Raw genomic sequence first — 27719 nt, 5'->3', positions numbered from 1 at the left:
AGTTGTAATTTTTAGTTTTTACAAAAATGACAGGTTTAAGGATTACAATTTGTATTAGAGTTGGTTTACATTTGGAGCTATGTGATTATTTATTTATTTATTTATTGAGATGGAGTCTTGCTCTGTTGCCCAAGCTGGAGTGCAGTGGTGCGATCCTTGGCTCACTGCAGCCTCCACCTCCCAGGTCCAAGTGATTCTCGTGCCCCTCCCAGGTAGCTGGGACTACAGGTGCCCACCACACGCCCAGCTAATTTTTATATTTTTAGTAGAGACGGGTCTCACCATGTTGGCCAGGCTAGTCTCAAACTTCTGACCTCAAGTGATCTGCCTGCCTCGGCCTCCCAAAGTGTTGAGATTATAGGCACGAGCCACCATGCCTGGCCAGGAGCCATGGGATATTTAAACCAGATTTTTACAATTAAGAAAGCAGAATTTTGATTATTCCGTAAGAATAGTCTTTTTCTTTTAAATAATACTTTCAAAACGTTAAATGGTGCTGCATAAATTCTTTATTAAACCGAACATGATACAGTCACTTAATGTCTGAAAACTAAGACTTTACAGGTATTAAGTACAAAATAAACATTTATAAACTAGGTACATTTTGATTACAATTTTAAATATAATTTTTAGAAAACTGAAGTTTTTTTTTTTTTATTATACTTTAAGTTTTAGGGTAAGAATTTTTCTTAGTACAGAACAAAATGAAAAGTCTCCCATGTCTACTTCTTTCTACACAGACACGGCAACCATCCGATTTCTCAATCTTTTCCCCACCTTCCCCCCACCTCCACTCCACAAAGCCGCCACTGTCATCATCGCCCGCTCTCAATGAGCTGTTGGGTACACCTCCCAGACGGGGTGGTGGCCGGGCAGAGGGGCTCCTCACTTCCCAGTAGGGGCGGCCGGGCAGAGGCGCCCCTAACCTCCCGGACGGGGCGGCTGGCCGGGCGGGGGGCTGACCCCCCCACCTCCCTCCCGGACCGGGCGGCTGGCCGGGCGGGGGGCTGACCCCCCCACCTCCCTCCTGGACGGGGCGGCTGGCCGGGCAGAGGGGCTCCTCACTTCCCAGTAGGGGCAGCCGGGCAGAGGCGCCCCTCGCCTCCCGGACGGGGCGGCTAGCCGGGCGGGGGGCTGATCCCCCACCTCCCTCCCGGACGGGGCGGCTGGCCGGGCGGGGGGCTGACCCCCCCACCTCCCTCCCGGACGGGGTGGCTGGCGGGGCAGAGGGGCTCCTCACTTCCCAGTAGGGGCAGCTGGGCAGAGGCGCCCCTCACCTCCCGGACGGGGCGGCTGGCCGGACGGGGGACTGACCCCCCCACCTCCCTCCCGGACTGGGTGGCTGCCGGGCGGAGACGCTCCTCACTTCCCAGACAGGGTGGCTGCTGGGCAGAGGGGCTCCTCACTTCTCAGACGGGGCGGCTGCTGGGCAGAGGGGCTCCTTACTTATCAGACGGGGCGGTTGCCAGGCGGAGGGTCTCCTCACTTCTCAGACGGGGCGGCTGGGCAGAGTTGCTCCTCACCTCCCAAATGGGGTCGCGGCCGGGCAGAGGTGCTCCCCACATCTCAGACGATGGGCGGCCAGGCAGAGAAGCTCCTCACTTCCTAGATGGGATGGCGGGTGGGAAGAGGCGCTCCTCACTTCCTAGATGGGATGGCGGCCGGGCAGAGACGCTCCTCACTTTCCAGACTGGGCAGCCAGGCAGAGGGGCTGCTCACGTCCCAGACAATGGGCAGCCAGGCAGAGACGCTCCTCACTTCCCAGACGGGGTGGCGGCCGGGCAGAGGCTGCACTCTTGGCACTTCGGGAGGCCAAGGCAGGCAGCTGGGAGGTGGAGGTTGTAGCGAGCGGAGATCACGCCACTGCACTCCAGCCTGGGCACCATTGAGCACTAAGTGAACCAGACTCCGTCTGCAATCCCGGCACCTCGGGAGGCCGAGGCTGGCGGATCACTCGCGGTTAGGAGCTGGAGACCAGCCCGGCCAACACAGCGAAACCCCGTCTCCACCAAAAAAATACGAAAACCAGTCAGGTGTGGCGGCGCGCGCCTGTAATCGCAGGCACTCGGCAGGCTGAGGCAGGAGAATCAGGCAGGGAGGTTGCAGTGAGCCAGAGATGGCAGCAGTACAGTCCAGCTTCGGCCATTTTGGGAAGAAGTTCTTTATCAGCTCCCTTGAAAAAGCACACGTAGATCACCAGTCCTCTTTGGACCTCCACCCACTGGGCCGCAACGTCCCCATTGGCTGGGCGAATTTGCAGCCGGGCGTGCAGGCACTGCTGTAGGAGCGCCCGGGCCTGAGGAATCCAGCTACCCTCAGCCATGGCTTAAGCCAGCGCCGCGGCCGGACGGTTACTAGGCCATGTGTCGCTGGCCCCTCCCTCGACGCGCTGGCCGAAAACTGAAGTTTTCTAAATGACTTTTTCCTCAATCATTAAAAAAACTCTTACAAGTTTTAAATATAAAAGCTGTAAATATAAAAACTATTCCATGACTTATGGCAGGTGACTAGTATCTTTAAACTAGAGATATCTTTAATAGAAATCCATCTCAACTCAAGGTCAATCAACTCATTACTTCCCAAAGTCCCTGTAGGGTGAATCCATCCTTCAATTTCTCTATTGCAAGCCCCAGTTCTTCTGAAAATACAGGTTCACGATCTTGTTGCTTTTTGGGAGACAGGAGGATAAGATGGGAATAGAGAAGGTGGGCAAGGAAGAGGAAAAAAACAAAAAAATAGGTTTCACATAAGTTTGTGAATGCTAAATGTTGGAATTTAGAAACTTTTTTCATATACTGTAGGTAAAATAAATGTCCTTACCTTATTGCCATCAGCAAAATAAGCCTGTAAGACAAAGAAAATTCTATTTCACAAACTGGACATATAATATTCGAATAGATCAGTGGGCTAAGGAACTTAATATGCAGAATGATTTTATAACTAAATGTATTTCACATTCTGTTACTGTGTAATGTTTTTTTCACCTATCTCTACAATGCTGGTAGCAGAATTCACTCTGTTCATGTCTACAAGAGTTATACCTTAAGTTGTAAAAAATGTGCTTTGTAATGTATGATTAGCACTGTTAACTTGAAAGGAGATAAAAAAGAATGACTTAATCATCATGTGGCAAGAAACAGGTAAAAAAGAGAAAAAAAGAAAAGAAAAAGAATGACTTAGAAGCTATACAATTTCTTCCCTACATTTGGTTTAGAAGATGATACTGGCAAAACAAAACAAGTACTTCAATGTGTCAGCAGATGCATACAGTTTGAGGCAGTAGTAGTTTATAATTATTTTATACTAATTTCACACCTTTGTTTCAAAGTATTTGTTACCAGACAGGTATTCTAGTCAGATTCATAGCCATAGAATGGAGAAAGCACTATTATTTTGGCTATAAGTTAAATGATACCAATTTGGAAATAGGAAAGCTATTGTTCAAATACATGTCCATTTCAAAACAAGATCCCTATAAATTAAGAGATGAACATTTCATAAAAATTAAGTATAGATTTTAAATTAATTTAATTAACAATATTTAACATGTTCTATTCACAGTATGAAAAAACTTTAGATATCTAAAATCCTAAAATCCTCTGAATAACTGTGTTTTCAAAGCATTTCTTTCCTTTTTTTTCTTTTTTTATAGAAATGGATTTTTGCCATGTTGGCCAGGTTGGTCTTAAACTCCTATCCTCTCAAGCGATCAGCCTACCTCGGCCTTCCAAAGTGCCGGGCTTACAGGTGTGAGCCACTGCACCTGGCCTCAAAGTATTTCTGATTTTGGTAATTTAAAAGTTATCGTCACAAAAGAAATCCCTCACTAAAAATATTATCTTCAAACTCAGGTTTAAGACACCATCAAAATCTCAAGTTATATGGTGTTTCACACACACCATTATTTTATTAAACAAGACTGAGATAAAATCCTTAAGAAATTTAATGCTGTCCTTTGTGATGCTCACCACAAAAGCATCCGTGTGACCATCAGAGTCTATTTCTACATCATCTTGAATTTGTTCGACTGTCAGAGCTTCGAGCGGCTGGGGCTGAAAATCAGCAGATGTTAAAATGCATCAGAGACAATATTAAATGTACCATGAGAACTGCAAATACTGTTAAAATAACAATTACAAACTACTAAAGTCTTATAAAAATCACGGTATAATTTGTTATTTTATTAAAAAACTAACAAGTAATAAAACTAATCAATTAAACCTAAACTTTCATATCTGAAGTCAGCATCACGAAAAGAACCAGAAAGAGAAATTTACACATACTTAAGATACTCAGATATCTTTAAAGAAAAAACTCTGACTTGACTTTCACATTTCTTTCACATTATTTAGAAAAACTAAGTTTTGCATAACAGCAAATGTTCAGTTTTCCTCAGAATAGTCATTATATAGAATTTGTGAAAAGTAAAAGAACTAATATTTTTATGGAATATTCTAAAGGTAAAGAATAAAATGTAGAACTAACACTTATTTATTTGTTCATTTTTCAAATGTTTGAATATCCCCTTTGTTATATTAGGTACTATGCCAGTAGTACCAAGGGTTATAAAATCCTACCCTTACTCACAAAGGGTTTATAATTTACTGAGTAGAGGAAAATATAAGACACAATGACCGATAACTAAATATTATGTTGAACCAAAAGAAACTGCCATTTTTTATCAGTCAAAATGATAAAATATCAACACTATTATATGCTTCAACCTACAAAAAGCAGTTATAACAAAGCTGAGGATAGCCTTAGTGTTTCAACCACGCTCAGAGTTGTGTGACTATGTGCAAGTAAATTAACTAAGCCTCAGTCTCCTTAACTGTGGGATAAGGATAATAATAATATGCCTCACAGTATTGTTGGGAAGATTAAATGTGATGGTGCATATAAAGTGCTTAGAGCAGTGAATGACAAACAGCAGATGTTTAACACAGTCATCCAACAACTATGAATATTCACTAAGAGCCTATCGTGTGCTAGTTTTGACTGCTGGAGATATAGCCATTAAGCAGACAAAAATCGCTGACTTCAGGGAGATCATTTATAGTGGAGGAGGCTGATTAATTCTGAAAGGAAGGGAGGAAGGAGAGAGAAAGTAAGCAAGCAGAATAAAGTGATGGGAGTTGCTGTTTTAGAAGAATAGTCAGGGAAGATCCTGAAGAGATGGCATTTGAGTAGGGACTCACATGAGGTGAGACAGTGAGCTATTACAGCTAGCTGCTATTATATACTGGGGTCAAAGAACAGGAGAAGAGAACAAACGAAAATTAGAGAATGCGTAGGGCAACTAACCTATCAAGCATCTCCCATGTGCCAGGCATTTAATGGACATGATCAATAACTTTGTAAGAAAGATTATGTCTGTTTTTCTCTTTTATTTTTTTAAGAGATAAGGTCTTGCTTTAAGAGATAGGTCATTGCTGCAGTGCAATGGCATGATCATAGCTCACTGCAGCCTCAAACTCCTGACCTCAAGCAATCCTCCCATCTCAGCCTCCGGAGTAGTTAAGACTACAGGCCGGCACCACCACACCTGGTTTTTAAAATTTAAAAAAAATTTAGTAGAGACAGGGTGTCACTATGTTGTCTTATTATGTTGAGGCTGGTCTCAAACTCCTGGCCTCACGTGATTCTCCCACCTCGGCTGCTCCAAAATGCTGGGATTACAAGCATAAGCCACCGTGGCTAGCCCTATATCAATTTTGAGAAAACTGAAGCTCAGATTTGCCTAGGATCACAAATAAATGATGAAACTGGGATTGAAAGTCAGGTTCTAAGGACCATGCTTGTTCTGCAACATTATTCTACAAAGAAGAGTAATAACTAGAAACAGGGAAGAGACTGGTATGACTGAAAGTGTAAAATGAGATAATGGGAAAATGAAGGAATACTTCAAAGTTTTGAGTACAGCTGACTTTGACAGTGCCAAAAATATATAAGTAAACAAATCAATAAATCAGCAGGTTGCTGCTTTTGAGAAAAAGATGAGGAGGCCAGTTTTAGGTATGCCAAGTTTGAGATGCTCATCCAAGTCCTGGTGTATCTTATTGACTTGCATAATTATTTAAATTACTAAGATAAATCTGAAATAAGAAATTCCACTCGTAGCATTTGGGATGCTCAACTATATGAAAATATTCAAGGGTATTTGGAACCATAAGCTGAAAGAATATGTCAAGGTCAGAAGGAAAGATCTACAGTCATCCACAAAAGTACAAGTTGAAGAAGCTGAACGAGCAGGTGATATTACCAAGGAATATACAGAGAAGGCAGAGTGAAAGGGAGACTGCTGAAAGAAGAGCATGTTGGGAAGAAAAAGAAAGGATGGTTCAGATGATGAAATACATACCGTGTATGTAATACAATGTCAGAAACCCAGATGCAAGTTTTAGCTAGAAGGAGAAATATATGGAATTCGACAGGGAGAGAAAAAATTAAGTACAAGGAGCACTACCAGGCAACAAGGGCCTCACTAAAGTCACATGCTGTAGTCCAAGAGCAGAAGAAGAGATATAAGTAATGGCTGTGATATGGATCAGCATGCCAAGCCCCAGCAGGGGCACCGATTATAAAGTAAACGGCAAGGGCACCAACAATAGAGTGCATAATGAGGGTGCCAGTAAAAGAACAGACAGCAAGGGAGTCTACAATCGAGTGATCAGTGATGGGACCAGGACAGAGAGGACAGCAAGGGCAATGGCAGTGGAGCAAATGGAAAGAGCACCTCTGACAGAATGGTGAGTGACTGTCCCAGTGATAGAGCAGACAGTGGGGGGCACCAACAATAGAGGGGACAGCAAGTACATCAGAGCTAGCGCCTCTAGCAAGGGTACTGGTGATAGAGTGGACAGTAAGGACACCTCTAATGGAGTAGGTAGTGAGGAAATCACTGATAGACTGGATGATGAGGGTCCCAGCTGGAGAGACAAATGAAGCCAAAAGAGAGCTCATGTACCTGGAGAGCAGGGAATAGTAGCAGCAACCAGGAAAGAAATCATGAAGAAGACAAAGAGCAGACATGTGGGCAGGATATGCAAAATACTTCATAACTGATATGGCAGAGGTACAGATCAACAGGAATGGATGCAGGCCGTGCTGATGTAGCCTACTCCTGGAGTTGCTATATTGTGGAGTACTAAGGCAGAAGACGGTATTCATGAGGACTATAAGGTTTGTCCATGCTCATAGGGGGCTGAAGTAAAATAAAAATCTGACAGAGTGAGAGACTCAAGTCTGTATCAGAGGAGCACTGCACATGGAAATTTACTCAGGTGGCTGCCCACCTACAAGGGCAGGTATGCGGGGCAGGAATGAATGATGAAGCAGCCACTTAGAAGACAGGTGGTAGGTACAAATTAGTGATAATCCAGGAGCTATGCCCACTTGAGCAGAATCTGTATATTCACCATTTTAAAAACAGTTCAAAATTAAATGGTGCACAGTGGTATCTACATCTGAATTTTATAGACTGCATAAAGCAATGCAAACTTTATTTCACATACTCAACAAATTACCTTTTCTTCCATCTCATAATCAACTCCAAATATGGGACTGGCAGAATAGACTTTGTGAAGTGAATTGATTTCCTTAACTGATTCTTGTAGTTTTTCCACAGGATCTATTTTAAAGCCAAGAACATATCCACCACTCTACAAGAGAAAAAATAATAAAAAAAAACCCAACAAGTCTGAAGAACAGTATTTATAGTATAAGATAAATTATAGCTCAATTTGTCCTTATTTTAGAGCATAATACGTAAGTTCATTTTTTCAATTAAACTTTTTATTATGAAAAATTTCAAGCACATACAAAAACAGAAGAGCACAAGGGGGCCTCCACGGAGCCATCATCCAGCTTCAAGAAGCAGCAACATGTGGACAACCCTGTTTCATCTGTAACCTCGCCCTCACCTGAACACCATTCCCCCAACGCAGGCTTATTTTGAAGTGTATTCAAATATAAGTTCATCTGAAATATCAAAGGTAACCTTTCAAGATTTAAAAAATACACTGTAGACTGTGAAGGCCAAGGGAACTAAGTTTTTCTTGAACTAGGCCTTGAAAAGGAACAGACTACACGAAAAGAAGAAAGGAAATGGGCCATCTGAGGCTATCTCCTTGAAGAATTAGGAAAGAAACTGGGCCATGATACAGTGTTTTGAAAGGAGTGTTAAAAAACTAAGTAGCATACTGTAATAGGTGAGAGTATATGTTCTGGGTTAAGAGCACACGCTTTTAATGTTCAAATTCTGGTTCTACCACTAATTCACTAGCTGTAGGATACTTAGAAACTTTCCTTAACCTTCCTTTCTTTTTTTTTTTTTTTTTTGAGACAGAGTCTCGCTCTGTCGGCCAGGCTGGAGTGCAGCGGCGCGATCTCGGCTCACTGCAAGCTCCGCCTCCCGGGTTCGCGCCATTCTCCTGCCTCAGCCTCTCCGGAGTAGCTGGGACTACAGGTGCCCGCCACCACGCCCGGCTAATTTTTTGTATTTTTAGTAGAGACAGGGTTTCACCGTGGTCTCGATCTCCTGACTTCCTGCTCTGCCCGCCTCGACCTCCCAAAGTGCTGGGATTACAAGCATGAGCCACTGCGCCCGGCCTCCTTAACCTTTCTAAGCCTCAATTTTCTAACCATAAAATGGTTATCCAGTTGTCATATAAAATAAGATAAACATATATATGACATTTGGTATAGTTCTTGGAACAGAGTAAATACTCAATAAATGGCAGCTGTAGGCCAGGAGAAAGGAGTAAGCAGACATTCATGTTTAAATTTAGAATGTAGATGATAAGTAATTTTATAAATCACTTTTAAAAATGTATTTAAAATTTTTCTTAGCCAGTGAAACCTACTATCATGAGACCAGCATGTTTTATTTAAATGTATTTCTGCAAAAACCTGGCATAATGGAGCATAACAGGTTATAATTAGCATATAATCTGTGTGTGAGAATATAAGACCTCAAACTGTGTGTGTGTACACAAATATATGTTTGTGTTTCTCAAAGACAGTCTTGGTAAATCAGTCAGACTTGAGATCAAAACTTAGCCCCATCACTTACTAGTTGTGAGATCATGGTCAAGGTTCCTAACTTCTCAAAGCCTCAGTTCCCTTGACTATAAAATGGGGGAAAAATAGTAGCTGTATCGTAGGATTGTGTAAAGATTGAGATAATGCATGAAAAGCCCTCGGCACAATGACTTGATTCTGTCATTAATAATAAGTGATGATCACAAATGATCATGTCTGTCCAACAAAAAAATATAAGCAGGATTCTTCCTCTGGGGACAATTTCTGTATGACTTCAAACACTTCATATATAACTTCATATTAAAGCTAATATTCTTCTCAGATGTAAACTGATTACTATATAAATAAAACCAAAAATCTAGACTGTCACATAGTTTTAAAAATCAAAGATTAATAAAAATATACAAGATCTTACCTGCTGAGAGCTTTCTATGACAAGAGCTAAACCAAATTTTGAATCTCTAATCTTTATTGAACGCTAGATACAAAATGAAAAAGAAAAACATGCAAGTTTTTATTAACTGAATAGTGACTCTTTAACTCAGTTTTTAAACTTTACACAGTATTTACTTTTCATAGTCTAAAGAACAGAATTCTCCCTCCTTCCTTCATTAAACTGCCACAGAGATCAAGTAAAAGAAACAAGACTCATACTGAAAATAGGTGGCAAACTTTTAAGAGGCAATACAAGAAAGACATCTCTGAAATATGTACAAAATTCCCGGACTCAAATATTTCTCACTTCCAGGGAGTAAACATTTTTAAAAATTAGAGACAATTAAATTAATTAGGTCTCATTCAGCCACCCAGACCAGACTACAATGGTGTGATCATAGCACACCACAGCCTCAAACTCCTGGGCTAAGGGATCCTCCTCCTGCCTCAGCCTCCTGATTAGCTAGGACTACAGGCATGTGTCACCATGCCCAGTTAATTTTTTCTTTTTTGTAGAGATAGGGGTCTCACTATGCTGCCTAGGCTGATCTTGAACTCCTGGCTTCAAGCAATCCTCCTTTCTTGGTCTCCCAAAGTGCTGGGGTTACAGGCATAAGCCACAGTGCCCAGACTGAACTTTTAAACAAAAGGCTAGCAATCTTTTAGTTTTGGTAAGCCGTGCCTTTTGTAGCTCCTAAGCCTAGTTTAGTTTTTTAAAGTCACATGTGCCTTCTGTTTCTTACATCATAGATGGCTACATTCTTAAAAGAACCTCTATTCTATTTAAGGTTTTTTTTTTTTGAGACGGAGTCTCGCTCTGTTGCCCAGGCTGGAGTGCAGTGGTGTGATCTTGGCTCACTGCAAGCTCTGCCTCCCAGGTTCACGCCATTCTCCTGCCTCAGCCTCCCAAGTAGCTGGGACTACAGGCGCCCGCCACTATGCCCGGCTAATTTTTTGTATTTTTAGTAGAGACGGGGTTTCACCGTTTTAGCCGGGATGGTCTCGATCTCCTGACCTTGTGATCCGCCCGCCTCGGCCTCCCAAAGTGCTGGGATTACAGGCGTGAGCCACCGCGCCCGGCCAATTTTTTGTATTTTTAGTAGATACTGGGTTTCACTGTGTTAGTCAGGATGGTCTGGATCTCCTGACCTTGTGATCCACCCACCTAGGCCTCCCAAAGTGCTGGGATTACAGGCGTGAGACACCATGCCCATCTGTAGTCTAAGTTTTAAAAATAATTTTAATTATTTAAGTTTAATATAAAATATTTAAGTTTTAAAAATAAGTTTGAATATTTATCACTAGACATCAAGGAAGGTTGGGATAGATTAAGTGTAATTAACATCAACTGGTAAATGTGATGTGAGGACTAAGCTTGGTTAGTGGAAGATAGATGGTGAAACCAGTGGCCTGGGAGAAGGGGAGAGTAGAGGCAGAATGGCAGGTAGGGCCTGTAGAAGTCACACAAAATGTACCTGCTGGCAGGGTAGGGGAGAATCACGGAGGACCTAACACTATGACCAGCAGACCAAAAGCCCAGAGAAGGGTAATCTGGCAGGTGATGATGGGATACCATGCTTCTAGACAGATAGGCAACTTTGAGAAAGAGACTCAGAAAAAGAAGAAAGGCTTTGATGATAATTGTTACGAAAACCTGGCCTTTCATCTGGGCTACTTTACACCCCATCAAGAGTATATACAATCCCAGTTAAGAATCATAGAACACTGACCAGGGGCGGGGGCTCACGCCTATATAGGCTGAGGTGGGCAGATTGCTTAAGTTCAGGAATTTGAGACCAGCCTGGGAAACATGGTGAAACCCCGTCTCTACAAAAATTACAAAAAAATTAGCCAGGTGTGGCTGTGCACGCCTGTGGTCCCAGCTGTTCAGGAGGCTGAGGAGAGAGGATCACCTGAGCCTGGGAGGCAGCAGTTGCAGTAAGCCAAGACCATGCCACTGTACTCTAGCCTGGGTGACAGAGTGAGACCCCTGTCTAAAAAGGAAAGAAAGAATCACAGAACACTGGCACTCTGGCTTTCAATAGGTAATCTAACCAGGTGTCTGTGGGTGACACAGGCTGGTAAGACAGAAACTGGCAAGAAGCTGATATAAATATCTATAGGAGTGGGGTCAGGGTAATGGCTGAGGTGTAGAGCTGAAGTTAGACTATGACTGCCGCAGTGACAGACTGTGATGATATCAGATTGCAAGTTGTTTGGGCCACTTGAATTAATTCCAGACGCCATATTTGACAACTCTATTCTTAAATAACAAAAAGAACAGAAAGCACAAGGTTGTTTACTACTCAGTAATTATTCAGCATAATAGAAGTTAGGTTAGGCAAGCTATAACACATTAATGTAATGCAATATAAAAAAGCAATAGCAATACAAACACCAATTTGTCAAATACCTATCTAGATTTTGTTACATTGTCCCAGCCTTGATTACAAACTCTTATATTCCTTTTGATAGCCAGAAATAATTTTCTTCCTATGAGATTCTATGGCTTTCTGTTTAATATGTTGCTTTTCTCCAACAGACTGAAAGCCCCTTGATGGCAGGAACTGTATACTGGTTCATGATTTTCATGATTGTATCTCTAGCACTTGGCACAGAGTAGGTATTCAAAATTTGGCATAAAAATGAATGAATTATCAGAAATTTTAAAGAAACTCTGAAATCAAACAATTTAGCCAAAAATAGGGTTGGGAATATTTTGCAAAGAATTATTCTTCTCATGGGCCAGGAATTCTTTCCTTAAAAACGGTATTTTCCAGGTATCACATACATTCTGTCTACTCAATAAATATTAATAAAACTCCTTAGTCTTAAGACTATATATCCTACAATAAGGGCAATTATCATAGGATAATCTCATGGGATTTTCATTAACTATTTTTATGTTCCATCTAATTTGTTCTAGAATTCTATAAGTAGTTTATATAAAACAAAATTATTTAGTGTATTGAAGTTTACAGTTTGTTTCACTGAGTCACTTATTTATCATAGCAGCAGCAGAGTACAAAGAACTATCTTTACCTATTCCCAAAACAAACTGGTCTCAGATATAGTCAGTTCTTATTTTGAATTTTCATAGTTTTTTTTTTTTTTAAATAGAGAAGGAGTCTAGCTATGTCGCCCATGCTGGTCTCGAACTCCTGACCTCAAGCAATCCTCCCGCCTCTGCCTCTCAAAGTACTGAGATTACAGGAATAAGCCACCATGCCCAGCCTGATTTTAACAGTTTTAATTGAACTTAAGCTGAAAGTATTATCACTAAAAATCATCTTGATTCCTTTCACTAAACCTGTGGTATGAATCCAGCTTGTATTACATTCTGTATCTAAATACAATGAAAGCAGTTCATTCGCAGAATTAATAAATTCCTTCTGGCTTTTAAAAGCTTTAGAGCAGAAAATGACAAGAGAGCCAAGAAAAACTGTGGATCAGTGTGCTAAATCTATGCCAAGGAAGCACCACATACCTGCCTCATGAAAAAGTTACAGAAAACTTTAATAGCTAAAGCCCTCTGGATGGAATCCAAGAGACACCTTACTCTGTATTACTATTTAAATTTTTAGAATCCAGTATATTTCTCTTCTAATAGCAAGTTGATAATGGTGCTGCTTCTCTGGAATGCAGTACAATTGGATCTTTTCTACATTGAAATATTTCATAGTAAATTATCAGCATCTTTAAAATATGCTCTCAGCTAATAACTGCTACCACTTAAAAAAGGGAGAAAGAACTCATCTAAAAGTCCAATTAACTATTGAACAAAAAATATTTATTTTACATTAAAATAAGGTCATCAAAATGTATGTACTTACAATTTGCAGATATGGTATACTGACATTAAAACTATCATTCATATTTGCATGCCACACAATTCTCACATTGGTAATAAAAAAGGTTCCTAAATTGCCCTGTAAAAAACAGTAATGAGATACCGAAATGATCATTTTTTTGGTACCTATTCTTTATTTTCTAATCACCAGAATAACTTATTACAGCAGCAAATAATACCAAAATTGAGTATCAATGACTTCATCATTCATTGATGGCAGTACAATTAGACGAGTGACAGCCTGGACTTTGGAGTCAGGCTGCCTAATCATTAAACCATTAGTACCTACCAACTGTCTGACCATAGGGAAATTTCTTCTTGATGTATTTTGTCAAATGTAAAATGGAGATCTGATTAAATATCCCATGTAAATCAATCCTAACACAGTGCCTAAATGTTAGACCTTACTAAAATTATTATTCAAAACCTTGGATAGGTTAAGGCAAAGGAGTTGTAGTAAGAGAAACAAAACATATGTAATAATCCCCATGAATATACATTAGATTGTATTCTTTATAAGGATAGGAGCGGAGTTACTCTGTTCCATAGTTAGATCTTTACCACCTAGCATAGCACCGCAAATTTTTTATTCATTAATTAAGGAGACATTCCAGGATTATCAGATATTTCATTGTATTGAAAGAAAATAGGGATGTTATCATCAACCTAACTTGTACTTATTGAAAAGTAATACGCTTTCCTATAATGCTAATTTTAACAATTAGAATTGACTATATAAATCCAATGATGAATGGAAAAATGATTACCAAAACACTGTCCCAAAAGGTTCACTAGCTCTTTGCACAATACCTGATCACTGGATAAATTCCAAACTCCATTTATTTTATCATATACATGTTCTTGTGGCAACAGTCTTAGTTGCTTGTTCTGAATTAGTGCACTTCTTAATTTAAAATCACGATACATTTTAGAAGTTTCATAAGCTCTATGAAAAAGAACAAACAAAAGACAACTCAAACTGAAAATGTGATTTTCTTGGGTTATGTTTACTTACTAAAATATGTAGTTGTTAGTATTTATGAACATTACTCAAATAATTATGATACATTTTAATATTTTTATTTCTTTTTAAAAATTGTTCTTATAGAGACAAAGTCTCAATACCTTGCCCAAGCCGGACACAAACTCCTGGGCTCAAGTGATACTCCTGGCTCAGCTTCCAGAGTAGCTGGGACTATAGGCATGTGCCACTGTACCCAGCTATATTTTTCTTTTTAATAAGGTCTGGCAATTACAGTTTTTTGTAGAATTTGTCATTTTAGTGTATTATTTACATATTTTATCTCAATAACCTATTTTTTTTTTTTTTTGAGATGGAGTCTCACTCTATCATCAGGCTGGAGTGCAGTGGTGCAATCTTGGCTCACTGCAACCTCTGCCTCCCAGGTTCAAGTGATTCTCCTGCCTCAGCCTCCCGAGTAGCTGGGACTATAGGCGCACGACACCATGCCCAGCTAGTTTTTGTATTTTTAGTAGAGACAGGGTTTCACCATGTTGGCCAGGATGGCCTCGATCTCTTGACCTCGTGATCTGCCCGCCTCGGCCTCCCAAAGTGCTGGGATTACAGGCGTGAGCCACCATGCCCAGCCCCTATTTTTTAATACACATGGAAATTGTTTTTTCTATCAAAATGCTACCTTTTCTTCCTTTCCTTGTTTTTCAAAGGACATAAACAGGCGTCCAATTATTAATACTTTTTCTCGGCCGGGCACAGTGGTTCATACCTGTAATCCCAGCACTTTGGGAGGCCGAGGTGGGCAGATCACTTGAAGTCTGGAGTTTGAGAGCAGCCTGGCCAACATGGTGAAACCCTGTCTCTACTAAAAATACAAGAATTAGCCGGGTGTGGTGGTGTGCACTTGTAGTCTCATCTACTTGGGAGACTGAGGCAGAAGAATTGCTTGAAACCAGGAGGTGGACATTGCAGTGAGCTGAGATTGCGCCACTGCACTCCAGCCTGGGCCACAGAGCGAGACTCTGTCTCAAAACAAAAACAATTACTTTTTCTCACTGCAACCTGAAAACATGCTCATGTCTACCTCTATACAGAAAACTAGAATGAATCTGTACTGATTCCAAAAGGGACCCTAAGGGGAGAAGGGGGAAAGAGGAAGAGAAGAACAGGGAGGGAGAGGGGGAGAAAGAGGGAGGAAAAAGGACAGGGGGAGGGAGGGAAAGAGAATTAAATCCTTATAACTTTTTCAATGTCTATTGATAATACAGAAACCCTGATTAACTTTTGATTAATTTTAATATTTCATATAAAACAGGCTAAGTTACCTATTTAACAAAAGTAAAGTTTTCTTAGCCTTAATAACAACAGATTCATATATTCATTGTTGAACTTCTAATTTTTATTTTAATCTTCTAATATTTAAATTGTGAAAGAGCAGAATTTTAGCACTCTGCTTGTAAATGTTAATTTTCTTTAGTGCTGTTATCATCAATACTTAACCAGTGGAAGAAATAGAAACTATTTATGCTATAAATTATTTTGGGGGGGAAGCACATAGTGTTTTTAATACTATTAAAGAAAAGCAGCTTCTGTTCCCTTCATATTCCATTTAGAACTTTTCATTTCACAGTACTTCTCTCAGTGAAATAAAGAGCTAAGGTTTAGGTATATGCCCAAGAGAACTGAAAACAGATGTTGACACAAAACTTATACACAAATGTTCATAGTAACATTATTCATAATGGCTAAAAAGTAAAAAACCCAAATGTCCATCAACTCATGAATGGATAAACAAAATGTGGTATGCCCATACAATGGAATATTCTTTAGCTACAAAAAGGAATGAACTACTACTACTACTGATACATGCTACAACATGAATGGACCTTGAACACACTGTGTAAGTGAAAGAGGTCAGACATAAAAGGCCACATATTATATGATTCCATGTAAATAAAATTTCCAGAACAGGCAAATCCATATAGACACAAAGTAAGTTAGAGGTTATCAGGGGCTGTGGAGTGGAGGGAATGGGAAATGACTGCTATGGGTAAGGGATTTATTTTGGGAGTGATGAAAATATTCTGGAATTGGATCTTGGCAATAGTTGAACAGTATTGTGAATATACTAAAACTATTGAACTGTATACTTTAAAATCGTAAATTTTGTTATGTAAAATTTTATGTGAATTATATCTCAATTAAAAAATTAAGCCATTATATAGACTAAAACATCAATAAAATTAAAAATCAAATAAACTAGGAAACTAAAAATAATATTTGCAATATATATGACAGCTAAGGGTATAATTAAGAAATTTAGCTTCCTGCTGGGTGCGGTGGCTCACGCCTGTAATCCCAGCACTTTGGAAGGCCAAGGTGGGCGGATCACAAGGTCAGGAGATCGAGACCATCCTGACTAACACAGTGAAACCCCGTCTCTATAACACAGTAAAACCCAACTCTACTAAAAATACAAAAAATTAGCCGGGCGTGGTGGCAGGCGCCTGTAGTCCCAGCTACTCGGGAGGCTGAGGCAGGAGAATGGCGTGAACCCGGGAGGCGGAGCTTGCAGTGAGCCGACCATCGCGCCACTGCACTCCAGCCTGGGCGACAAAGTGAGACTCCGTCTCAAAAAAAAAAAAAAAAAAAAAAATGCACATTTCATTGGCTGGGCCCAGTGGCTCACACCTGTAATCCCGGCCCTTTGGGAGGCTGAGGCGGGCAGATCACGAGGTCAGGAGATCAAGACCATACTGGCTAACATGGTGAAACCCCGTCTCCACTAAAAATACAAAAAATTAGCCAGGCGTGGTGGTGGGCACCTGTAGTCCCAGCTACTCGGGAGGCTGAGGCAGGAGAATGGTGGGTGAACTTGGGAGGTGGAGCTTGCAGTGAGCTGAGATAGCAGCTGCACCCCAGCCTGGGCAACAGAGCAAGACTCTGTCTCTAAAAAAAAAAAAAAAAAAAAAAAAAAAAAAAAAAAAAAAAAGGAAATTTATGAGAAGCCAAAAAATACAAAAAATATATGAAAAATGTCAACCTCACTGGTAAATACAAGTTAAACAATTATATACACACATATATACACATACCTATGTGTCTATATCCTGTCATCTTAGCAAAGCTTAAAAAAAATCATAGCACTTAGGGCTTGTTTAAAAAAGAAAAAAAGCCGAGGTAGTGAAAAGAGAAGAATTTAGTAAACAACAAGAAGAAAAAATATAAAAACAAAACAGCCTGGGTGAAGTGGCTCACATGTGTAATCCCAGCACTCTGGGAGGCTGAGGCAGGAGAATCACTTGAGCCCAGGAGTTGGAAACCAGCTTGGACAACAAAGTGAGACCCCGTCTCTAAAAAAAAAAAAAATTTTTTTTTTTTGAGACAGAGTCTTGCTCTGTTGCCCAGGCTGGAGTGCAGTGCGGCGATCTCAGCTCACTGCAACCTCCATCTCCCTGGTTCAAGTAATTTTCCTGCCTCAGCCTCCAGAGTAGCTGGGATTACAGGCATGCACCACCATGCTCAGCTAATTTTTTTGTATTTTTAGTAGAGGCAGGGTTTCACCACATTGGCCAGGCTGGTCTTGAACTCCTGACCTCAAATGATCCACCCACCTCAGCCTCCCAAAGTGTTGGGATTACAGACGTGCGCCACCACGTCTGGCTCTACAAAAACATTTTAAAAATTAGCAGGACATGGTGGTGCGCACCTGTAGTTCTAGCTACTCAGGAGGCTAGGACAGGAAGATCATTTGAGCTCAGGAGTTTGAGGCTTCAGTGAGTTATGACTGCACCACTATACTCCAGCCTGGGTGACAAAGCAGGACCCTACCTCTATTTAAACATAAATAAATAAAAAAAGGCCACAAACCTAAAACAAACCAAAACACCAATAAAACTCTTCAGGGAAAACACTCAAACATGCCTTCTACCTACTAGAAAAATAACCTTTTAAATTAATTAATTATGCAACTTGTTTAGCTATATTGAATGAATTCTTTATTTCACTTTACCTACCTTGGTAGCTAATTTAATCTGGTTGTCAGTAGAAATTTTTAATGAATCTTCAGTAGTTTTATGTGTTTTATAAATACCTTCAAAGTGTTTATTAAATAATAAAACATGTTGTTCTCAACATCTTCCTGATATTTACAATAGAGCTTGGAGGAAGACAGTACCACACTTCTAAGCTTTATTCTCTAAAACAGGGGTCCCAAACCCCCTGGCCACAGATAGATGGGTACTGGTCAGTGGCCTGTTAGGAACCAGGCTGCCCAGCAGGAGGTGAGTGGTTGGGGGGTGAGTGAGCAAGCAAAGCTGAGCTCTGCCTCCTGTCAGATCAGCAGCGGCATTAGATTTTCATAGGAATGCAAACCCTACTGTGAATTGCACATGCAAGGGATCTAGACTGTGCCCTCCTTATGAGAATTTAATGCCTGATGATCTGTCATTGTCTCCCATCACCCCAGATGGGACCATATAGTTGCAGGAAAACAAGCTCAGGGCTCCCACTGATTCTACATTATGGTGAGTATATAATAGTAATAGAAATAAAGTGCACAATAAATGTAATACACTTGAATCATCTTGAAACCATACCCTCACCCAATTCGTGGAAAAACTGTCTTCCATGAAACTGGTCCCTGGTGCCAAAAAGGTTGGGGACTGTTGCAGTCTAAAACCATAGAGTAAACAAAAAATATTCAATAATCCATAAAGTATTACTATACCTGTGTACTGCCATCACAGAAGTAAAAAGTCTAGGGCTTCCAGGAACCAAATTTGTAAATATAAATTCAAAACGAGTACTGTTACATTTTGTTAGTATATAGAGAGCTTCAGTTTGGCCTCGTAATTTCTGTAAGGACAAATTTATTTAAAAGTTCAGATTTTAAGAGCAATTTCTCCTTTATAGTGAAAACAAACATCAATCTCAAATATCTAGTTTCTTTACTATATATATATTGCAATAAGATTTTTTAGACTTACAGAGTTAGCAGTCCTTGTTGTAATATTCAATATGCAATTGTAACCGACAGCTAAAATCCAAAAGCAAAGAATGTAAAGAGCATGATATGGTACACTGAGAAAAAATACTTTTCTAAAAAAAAAGTATACACAGAACTTTTAACAGTTTAAAAAATTAAACATATATAGAAATAAACTTTTAAAAGTTTTAAAGAAATAACTATAAATTAAATAATTAAAAAAACTAGAGGGTCAATTCTGTCTCCTTGAACAAACAAAAATATAACACAGGAAAAAGGAAGTCTTCATCCCTAAAGCCTCTGCAGCATTATTTACTGAAAGTTTTGGCACTACTACTAAAAAAGAACAAGTCTAGCTGGATAATCTAAAATACTTTAAAAAAATAAGTGAAACAAAATTTAACACAATGAAAAGATTATACTTTTATTAGAGCTTCTTCCTTCTTTGGGATTAATCAAAACAGGGGATGATAGTATGTTCTCAAAAATAATCAAAAAACAAGAACCAAGGTTAAAGCCCTAATCTTCTATATGTCCAAGACACAAAATGGACAAACCAAAATAATAATGGATAATTTTGTTTGCATTATGATGTCTAGGATTTCTGAAGGTTTTTTATTTTTATTAATATTTCTACATACTTCTTTGGTATCAAAGGCACCATGCAAATTCACCTGACAAAGGATTTTTTTTCTTCAGACTTATCTAACAAAGATACTTACAAACATTGACTCTTGATAATGCCAAAGAGTGCCAGAGAATTCTTAAATTTGTTACCAAGAGTCTACCTAAAAGCACACAGACAAAAAATAGGTTAACTTAAATAAGAACCCATTTTTGCAGCACTGAATGAGATGGATATGGAACTTCTGGCCCAGTATTAGAAGCAACACTCAGATATTTTTCATATATTAACTGAAAATATTGTGCATATCCAACCTATATAAGGTATACAACATATGATTCAGAATCCCAGAGAAACAAAATTTGACAGTTATATAAGGGATACAGATGTTCTCTGCCAATAGCTTTGCTCTAACTCAAACTGACTGAAGAAAGAATTGTGTACTAGTTTTTTTGTCTTGGTAGAAGTTGTTCTGGGTCCCAGCAAGTCATATGTGTACAACTGAGAATGAATATAGGATAATTACACAGCTATTCACTGAAATCACACTTTTCAAAGAACTCTCACATACACACTAATCCTTTCTATATGAGTACTTTCTTAGCAGTTCTCATTTAAATGAACCATATATTTATACACACAATTTTGCTGTGAGCAAACTATTTTGTTCCTAAGAAGTTATGGTCAGGCTGAAGTCTATTTAAGGCTTTATACTTTTTGATCTTAGCATCAGACTGATGTTCATACACTGAAATACAAAGTTAGATACTTCATTTCTCAAAATGTGTCCTGTACAATAGTGATCTCTTACTGATGCTCCAAGAAAAAAACAATAAATTTGAGAATGGTATACTAGGTGTATTAGAGATGTACAATACAATCAGCATATTATCATAGCTTTGAGATATTCTGAAATAATAAGACTCACTTTGTTTAAACACATTATTTCACCAACAAATTACAATCATAAAATTATTTTTATGAGTAATCTATAGCCAGCCAGGTCATACTATTTCTGAAAACCTCTATAATGTCTAAAATCAGAGAAACTAGGTCTGTACGAATACTGGAGTGAAAAGTGGATAGCAAACATGGCTCTAAAAAAGATGAAAGCATTCTCAAGGGAGACTGTGGAAAATTACAGAATATCTTTGACAAATAATAAGTAATCCAGCATGGCTGGAGTGTAAAGTTCACACAAGATCATAGAAGACTAGGTATAGCATCCTTCAGTCATTGGTCCAACGGAAAACAGATGGCACACTCAAGTTAGGATAACTGAGGTTTATTTACAAAAGAGGGAGCAGCAGTTCATGAAATCTGGAAGAAACAAGAGTCCTATGGAGCTGACTGCTTTGAGAGGAGAGACACAGCCAACCCTTCACTGGGAAGGAACCAGGGCAATAAATACCCAGACCTCAAACTCCTGCCTCCCTTTGATCTTCTGCCATGGCTCTTCCAACTGGAAGCCAGAGTATACAAGGAACCCTTAGATGTACTCTATACAAGTCATCTTTCCAGGGCAAGGGGAAAAGGGTGGAGAAGAATGCTGGACCTGGATGAACAAATGGAAGACAGCAGCACAGGCGATAAAAGTTGTCTTTGGACATACTAGAAGTTCTTTAATGCTAGACAAAGAAATTCAGACTTAGATCTATTAGCAATGGAGGCAGTAGAGTTGGGGGTGGGGTTTAGGATTGGAATTGGGGAGGACTAAAAATCTTTAAGAAGAAAATAATATGACCCTCCCAGTTTAGAAATCAATGTAGGCAGTTAGGTTCATCACCTAGCTACGTGACCTTGGAAAAGTAAACTAACCTCTGTATTCCTCAGTTTCCTCATTTGAAAATAAATATGACTGCATCTACTTTAAACTTTTTGTTTTACTGTTTTTATTATTGTTAAATGAGATTATATTTATATAAAAGATTCAGAACAGTGACTGTCAATAAACATTCCCCAAATAATAGCTATTTAAAAAATAATCCTTTGCAAACTCATTTTTAACTTTTTTTGGTTTTTATATAGATATACCTGTTTTCCTTACGCCATTTTACCTAGGCAACATTTTATCTTTACAAGTGGGCTATGGGCTCAGGACATCTATTGATTCTTTTATATTTTTCTGTCGGTCCCAGGAGAAATTATGGAGTGGGAAGGGTTTGCCATATAAAACCACCAACCACCTCTGTTTGCCTTTTTCTTTGCTCTTGGTATATCTCCTACAATCTCTAGGATTTTTAATGCTACCTCTTTTCTGCTGAAGAACCCCAGCCTATGGCTCCAAACCCAGTGTTCCAGACATGGACTTTCCTCTCTACCCTGCCTAATACCAAAGTATAGTTGTCCCTGTTTCTACTAATCTCCCAAACACTGAAATATGGCTGTCCCTTTTATTCTCACACAGCTATTTAATATAATATTTTAATTCTTTACAAACTCATTTCTATGACTTACTTTCTGATTATAGATACATTGGTTATATTTTCCTTATGCCATTTTACACCTAAGCAGCATTTTATCTCTATAACTGGGCTATGAGCTATGGGCAGTGTGCAAAGTTAATCTGATAATTTCAAGTCAGGGTACTAACAGTTGAAAATGGATTAAATATGCTAATCTTCTGGGATATAGTTTTAACATAAGGGGCTCTTGAACTTGGCAATGTCTTAACTTGGTCATTTTCAAACTGCTGAAAGGGAGGGGAGGGAGATGGCTAGAAGGCAGGATTCCCCTTCCATTTTTTAACTCCTTAATGACCAGAAGCGCTGCGTACTCCTGTAAAATTTCAAAAGGTTTTTGAGGTCTGTGCACACACACACACACACAGTTATTTCTATTTTAACTTTGAGACAGGGTCTTGCACTGTCACCCAGGCTGGAGTGCAGTGGCATGAACATGGCTTACTGAAGCCTCAACCTTCTGGGCTCAAGTGATCCTCCCACCTCAGCCTCCCCAGTAGCTGGGGCCACAGGCGCACAACACCACACATGGCTAATTCTTTTTATTTTCTGTAGAGACAGGGTCTTGTTATATTGCCAGGCTGGTCTCTAATTCCTGGCCTTAAGCAGTCCTCCCACCTTGGCCTCCCAAAGTACTGGAATTATAGGCAAGAGCCATTGCAGTTGGCCTATTTTTATTAATAGTAGGATTTCAGGCACTGGAGATTTCTGATCAGGGAAGCTTTCTGCCCTTCCTACTCTAAAGTATTAGTATAGGATTCTGCGCTCAATGAATATCTGAGGAATCGAAAAATGTTTTATGAAGAGTTCCTGCCAATCTGTATGAGACTTTCTATTGGCTTTCTCAAGTTAATTCTGAGTTCGTCAAGATACAGCCATCTTGATAGTTGGGATTATTATTCCACCCTCAAAAGCACAAACTAAGACTTTTCGTTTGCTGCCAGATCTTCATACTCCACTCTCATCTGAGCTTGATGTACACCAGGAAGCATTTCAGAAGTGTGATCTAAGCATTACTTTAAGGATGAGCCCTAGCCACTAAAAGGATCTGCCTGTAGGTGGTGGCAAGTAGGCAGCAGGCCCCTTTCTAAGCCTTTCTTCTGAGGGGAACTGCCCTCACCTCTATCTCCATTATTTCCTCTGGTGTCTTCAACCGAATCTAAACAATCAATAAAGACATCGCCAGGTCTTGTTTTCATTTGCCTAAAATGAATACAAAGGTCTGAATTTTATAGCTACCACTATACCTACTTGCCATCTATTAGGGACATATTTACCATCTAATATGTCTCTACTAAGAGACATATGTACATTAGCCAGGAGCAGTGGCTCATGCCTGTAATCTCAGCACTTTGGGAGGCCGAGACAGGTGGGTCACTTGAAGTCAGGAGTTCGAGACATATGTACATAAAAGAGCCAGCAGCATAAATAATACTGTACCAAAAGTTCATGCATTTAAAAATAAGGTCTCTGAGGGGAACCAATCTCAGAGAAGCAGGCTTACAACAGGGCCTGCTGCCTACATGCCACCTCAGAGCAGGTCAGAAGAAAGTCTCAGGAAGCAAGCAGCCACTCAAAGGGCTACAGTAAGCATGTTCTGCTAATAAGGTTTACTGTTCCTTCTCTATGAGTTATTGATTCCCCCTTTCCTGAATGAAGTCTGCTCTATTTCCCCTCTTACCCCTTTCCAATAAGAGGTTTACATCCCTCCCTCCTAAACTTCTTCTCCCACTAAAACATATTCTGGATACATTAAGCTGTCATTCCACATCTATTTTTTTTTCCTTGGAAGTAATGATGCTTTCAAGACCTACTGGTCACTGGCTCCACAGATAGCTGCTATGGGCAGCCTGGACTTTTAAAAGTTCCAACCTTAGGGAGATTTGGTTTGGGAGGGGCTCTAGGGTCCAGCTGTGCTGGTCCTTGGTGACAGTCAGAGAAGACTCACAGGATTTTCTAGTACTTGACCTACAAATAGATTTCACAGTGCAGGACTAAATTTGCTCTCCGCATATCCATGTCTAGGTGACAACCATAGGTGATTGATGGTGCATTACTTCTGAATTTTTGAAAAGGAAGCATGGCTCCAGGTACTACAGCTATGACCTACTTATATTCCACTACCCCATATCCTTTTTTGGGAAGACAGATCTAACGGTCAGAACTAATGCCCCTTGCAAACAGGTCTACTTGAGTTTTAACAGCTACAATGGATAAAGGTGATGTTAGAACCAGGACTTACTGAAGGACCAAACTACATGTTTAATACCTATCCTGTCTTCTGTTTAAATCTGAGAAAAGTCTTATGTGAATTTAACTCTCCTATTCTCACAATTACACTGACAAATGATGCTGTTTCATATATTCTCTAGCTAATATGATTCAACATTTGTAAATTAAACCAGGAATATAAGATACATTTAAAAATATACTCACCTCTATCTCCATTATTTCCTTTGGTGTCTTCAATGGAATCTAAACAATCAATAAGGACTTCTCCAGGTCTTGTTTTCATTTGCCTAAAGTGAATATAAAGGTTTGAATTTTATAGCTACAACTATACCTGCTTGCAATCTATTTAGGGAGAAAAGAGACATATGTACATAAAACAGCTAACAGCATAAATAATACTGTACCAAATGTTCATGCATTTAGAAATAAGGTCTTCAAGAACTTCAAGAACCTGAAGATCAGTGGGGCCTGGAGTGACCAGGGCCATCTGGAGTAAGCCAGATTGGTAGGAGGTGTTGAATTTTGAAAAATAAAAGGAAAAGAAAAGAGAGTCCATGATTAAAGACCAGGAATAAGAAATGGTAAGGACATGGGAGAAGGCTGGCCAAGCTTGGAAAGAAGGACCATATTGGGAGGTAGTGAGAGAAATATTGTTGGATAACTAAGGAGGAACCAGACTATGGAGAACTCAGAATGCCAGTCTGATAGGTTTAGGCCTTATCCTGTGCACAGGAGAGAACCTCCAAAGGTTTCTGAGTAGAGGAAAGGACATCAGGAAATTATAGAAGGAATGGTTAAAGAAGAGCTGTATGAAAAGCATCTTTGGAATTTGACAAATAGATACAGGTGACAAAAGGAAATAAGAGCAGCTTGCTGACAGACAGAATACATTCTACAGTGTCCAAAAAAAAAAACCTAGCAAAATATCTAAAAGAGCCTTCTAATACACTCTTCATAAAGCCAACTCAACTACCTATTGAAAATACAGATATGACCATATCATTTCCCTGCTTAAAAGCTTTCTATATCTTCCTGCTGCCTAGAAGTTGAAGTCCAAAATCCTGAGCTAAAAATGTTACAATCTGGCTAATTTATCTATTTGTACTTCCAACCTCTCTCTGCAGCAGACCCTGCCTTTAGCTAATGAGGTTACAGCTCCAAGACTGCTTCTAACGCTAAATTCTTTTCTTCTTTTCTGGAATACTCTCCTCCTGTCTACCCTGACAAGGCTCTGCCCATTCTTCAGGGAACAACTCAAATACTATGAATATTTATTCTTCTTCAAGGACTTCACCAGGTAGAATAAATTGTTCTGTTTCTATGAGTCTCAGCTTTTCGCTCATTTTTTCAGAATGGTATTTACCACATTTATTATAGTGGTTGTCTGTATGTATCTCCTGCACTAGAACGGGGGGATATGAATATCATTTCCTATTATTTTCTGTCTCTAGCTATCGGCCCAGTAACTAGCACGTAATAAAACATGGATAAATGTTTACTAATGTTACTGAAACGGACTTTTGTTTGGATTAAGAACCCTACAAGAAAGACAGAAAATGTCGCCGGGCGCAGTGGCTCACGCCTGTAATCCCAGCACTTTGGGAGGCCGAGGCGGGCGGATCACCTGAGGTCAGGAGTTCGAGACCAGCCTCAACATGGAGAAACCCCGTCTCTACTAAAAATACAAAATTAGCCAGGCGTGTTGGTGCGTGCCTGTAATCCCAGCTACTCTGGAGGCTGAGGCAGGAGAATTGCTTGAACCTGGGAGGCGGAGGTCGCAGTGAGCCGAGATCGCGTCATTGCACTCCAGCCTGGGCAACAAGAGCGAAACTCTGTCTCAAAAAAAAAAAAAAAAAAAAAAAAAAAAGAATGACAGAAAATGTCATAGAAAGTGCGCAATATGTTACTACAGTCCGTAATTTTACGAATTCCTTTCTCTTTCATCTTCTTAAAGGGTCTAACATGTTAGCATTAGATATCTAGCTATACTTAACCTGAGAAATTTATCAATATTTCATTTTTCCATCTAAGGAGGTGAGGTCCATGATAAGGAACGATTCCATCTAAGGAGGTGAGGTCCATGATAAGGAACGATTCCACCTAAGGAGGGGAGGTCCATGATAAGGAACGATAAGAAGTAGCTAAGAAGCTCCATGCCATTAATCCAGGAATCTTAGCTTTAGCGTTTCTCAACACTTAGTAACCCAACCGGCATTTCCCGCCCTGGATTTTGGAGTAGGAGGTTTCTAACCACTTTTTCTTTACGATACTTTCCAAAAACATGGTTTCTATTTAATGTATGATAATTTCCAAAAACAGGTTGCAAAAGAAGACTCCTTCTTGTTGGTGACTGATATGAATAACTAGATGAAAGCTTACCAAGGACATAAAGTTTGCGCGGTTAGTAATTTTTGACGACTGCCTTACTCCCACCTCCCTTATTTTACAGACATGAGGATTCTAGCTTGAATGATGAAGACATCTGCTCAAGGGCCCACACTGTGGGTCGATATTACACATCTACTTTTAGAACCCTAGTTTCCTGAGTCCCTGACCTACGTTCCTTCCATGAAACTGAAATCCCAAGCTCACGTGGGTGTATACGGGACGCTAAGCCCCGGGTGGCCCCGGTCGTGCTCAGGTTCACATTCCTGATCCGTCCCGCGGGCCAGGATGGGGGAACCGGAGGTCGCATGGGACCAAAACTGTGTAATGCCGATGCGCTCTTGCCGCGGCGCCGGCCTCGAGAGGGCCACAGTGGCCCAACCAGCCTGAGGTCTCTCGAGGCGCGGACGACCGGCGCAAGCCTCCCACCCTCACCAGGGCCGCGAGCTGCGGAGGTGCAGTCTCCGCCCGCGGGTCCCTAACGCGCACGGCGGCGCCCTCTACAGGGTTGAAGATCCCTCGGGAATCTTGGAAACTCACTGCGCGGACAGGTCGAAACGGACATCCCGATCCTCCCAAAGCGCATCCAGCACCGACATGGTGAACAAGGCCCGTGGCAGGATCTCTCCACAGCCGTGCAGGCCTAGCTGCGTCTCTCTGGCTCCAAGGCAACGGGCCGCCTCTGTCACGACGTCTACGGCGGGCGCCGAGACTCAAGCTTCCGC

At 40.3% G+C, this 27719-nt stretch overlaps 1 protein-coding gene across 1 annotated transcript, besides 2 other annotated features; it reads right to left on the bottom strand.

Moving 5' to 3' along the window:
- BBS5 (Bardet-Biedl syndrome 5) lies at positions 492–27653 on the bottom strand. The gene is made up of 12 exons (NM_152384.3): positions 27535–27653; positions 24814–24896; positions 20013–20078; positions 19292–19341; positions 19033–19160; positions 14138–14273; positions 13311–13406; positions 9458–9520; positions 7527–7661; positions 3969–4052; positions 2821–2844; positions 492–2666 (listed from the first exon to the last, which is right to left on the bottom strand). The coding sequence occupies exons 1-12, from the start codon at positions 27591–27593 to the stop codon at positions 2565–2567; spliced, it is 1026 nt and encodes a 341-aa protein (NP_689597.1). The 5' UTR covers positions 27594–27653; the 3' UTR covers positions 492–2564.
- Positions 6817–7017: a silencer, noted in NCBI's record as "peak3917 fragment used in MPRA reporter construct". NCBI's record gives its function as "represses an SCP1 promoter by STARR-seq MPRAs in K562 erythroleukemia cells {active_cell/tissue: K562}" and the evidence as "EXISTENCE:reporter gene assay evidence [ECO:0000049][PMID:32103011]".
- Positions 27380–27719: an enhancer, noted in NCBI's record as "active region_16738". NCBI's record gives its function as "activates an Ori minimal core promoter by ATAC-STARR-seq in GM12878 lymphoblastoid cells {active_cell/tissue: GM12878}" and the evidence as "EXISTENCE:reporter gene assay evidence [ECO:0000049][PMID:35858748]".

This window comes from Homo sapiens, chromosome 2 (assembly GCF_000001405.40).
Source record: "Homo sapiens chromosome 2, GRCh38.p14 Primary Assembly".
NCBI lineage: Eukaryota > Metazoa > Chordata > Mammalia > Primates > Hominidae > Homo > Homo sapiens.
The sequence above is the reverse complement of the archived record's forward strand: the minus strand, read 5'-3'. Positions and strand labels throughout refer to the sequence as shown.

Excerpts from the sequence above, each read along its gene's own strand:
- BBS5 (NM_152384.3), bottom strand. The coding sequence starts at position 27,593 with ATGTCGGTGCTGGATGCGCTTTGGGAGGATCGGGATGTCCGTTTCGAC. Across the intron at positions 20,079-24,813 it reads AGGAAATAATGGAGATAGAG|GTAGACTCTTGGTAACAAAT; the intron begins GTGAGTATATTT and ends GTGTGCTTTTAG. Across the intron at positions 13,407-14,137 it reads GGAATTTATCCAGTGATCAG|GGCAATTTAGGAACCTTTTT; the intron begins GTATTGTGCAAA and ends TGTTTTTTACAG.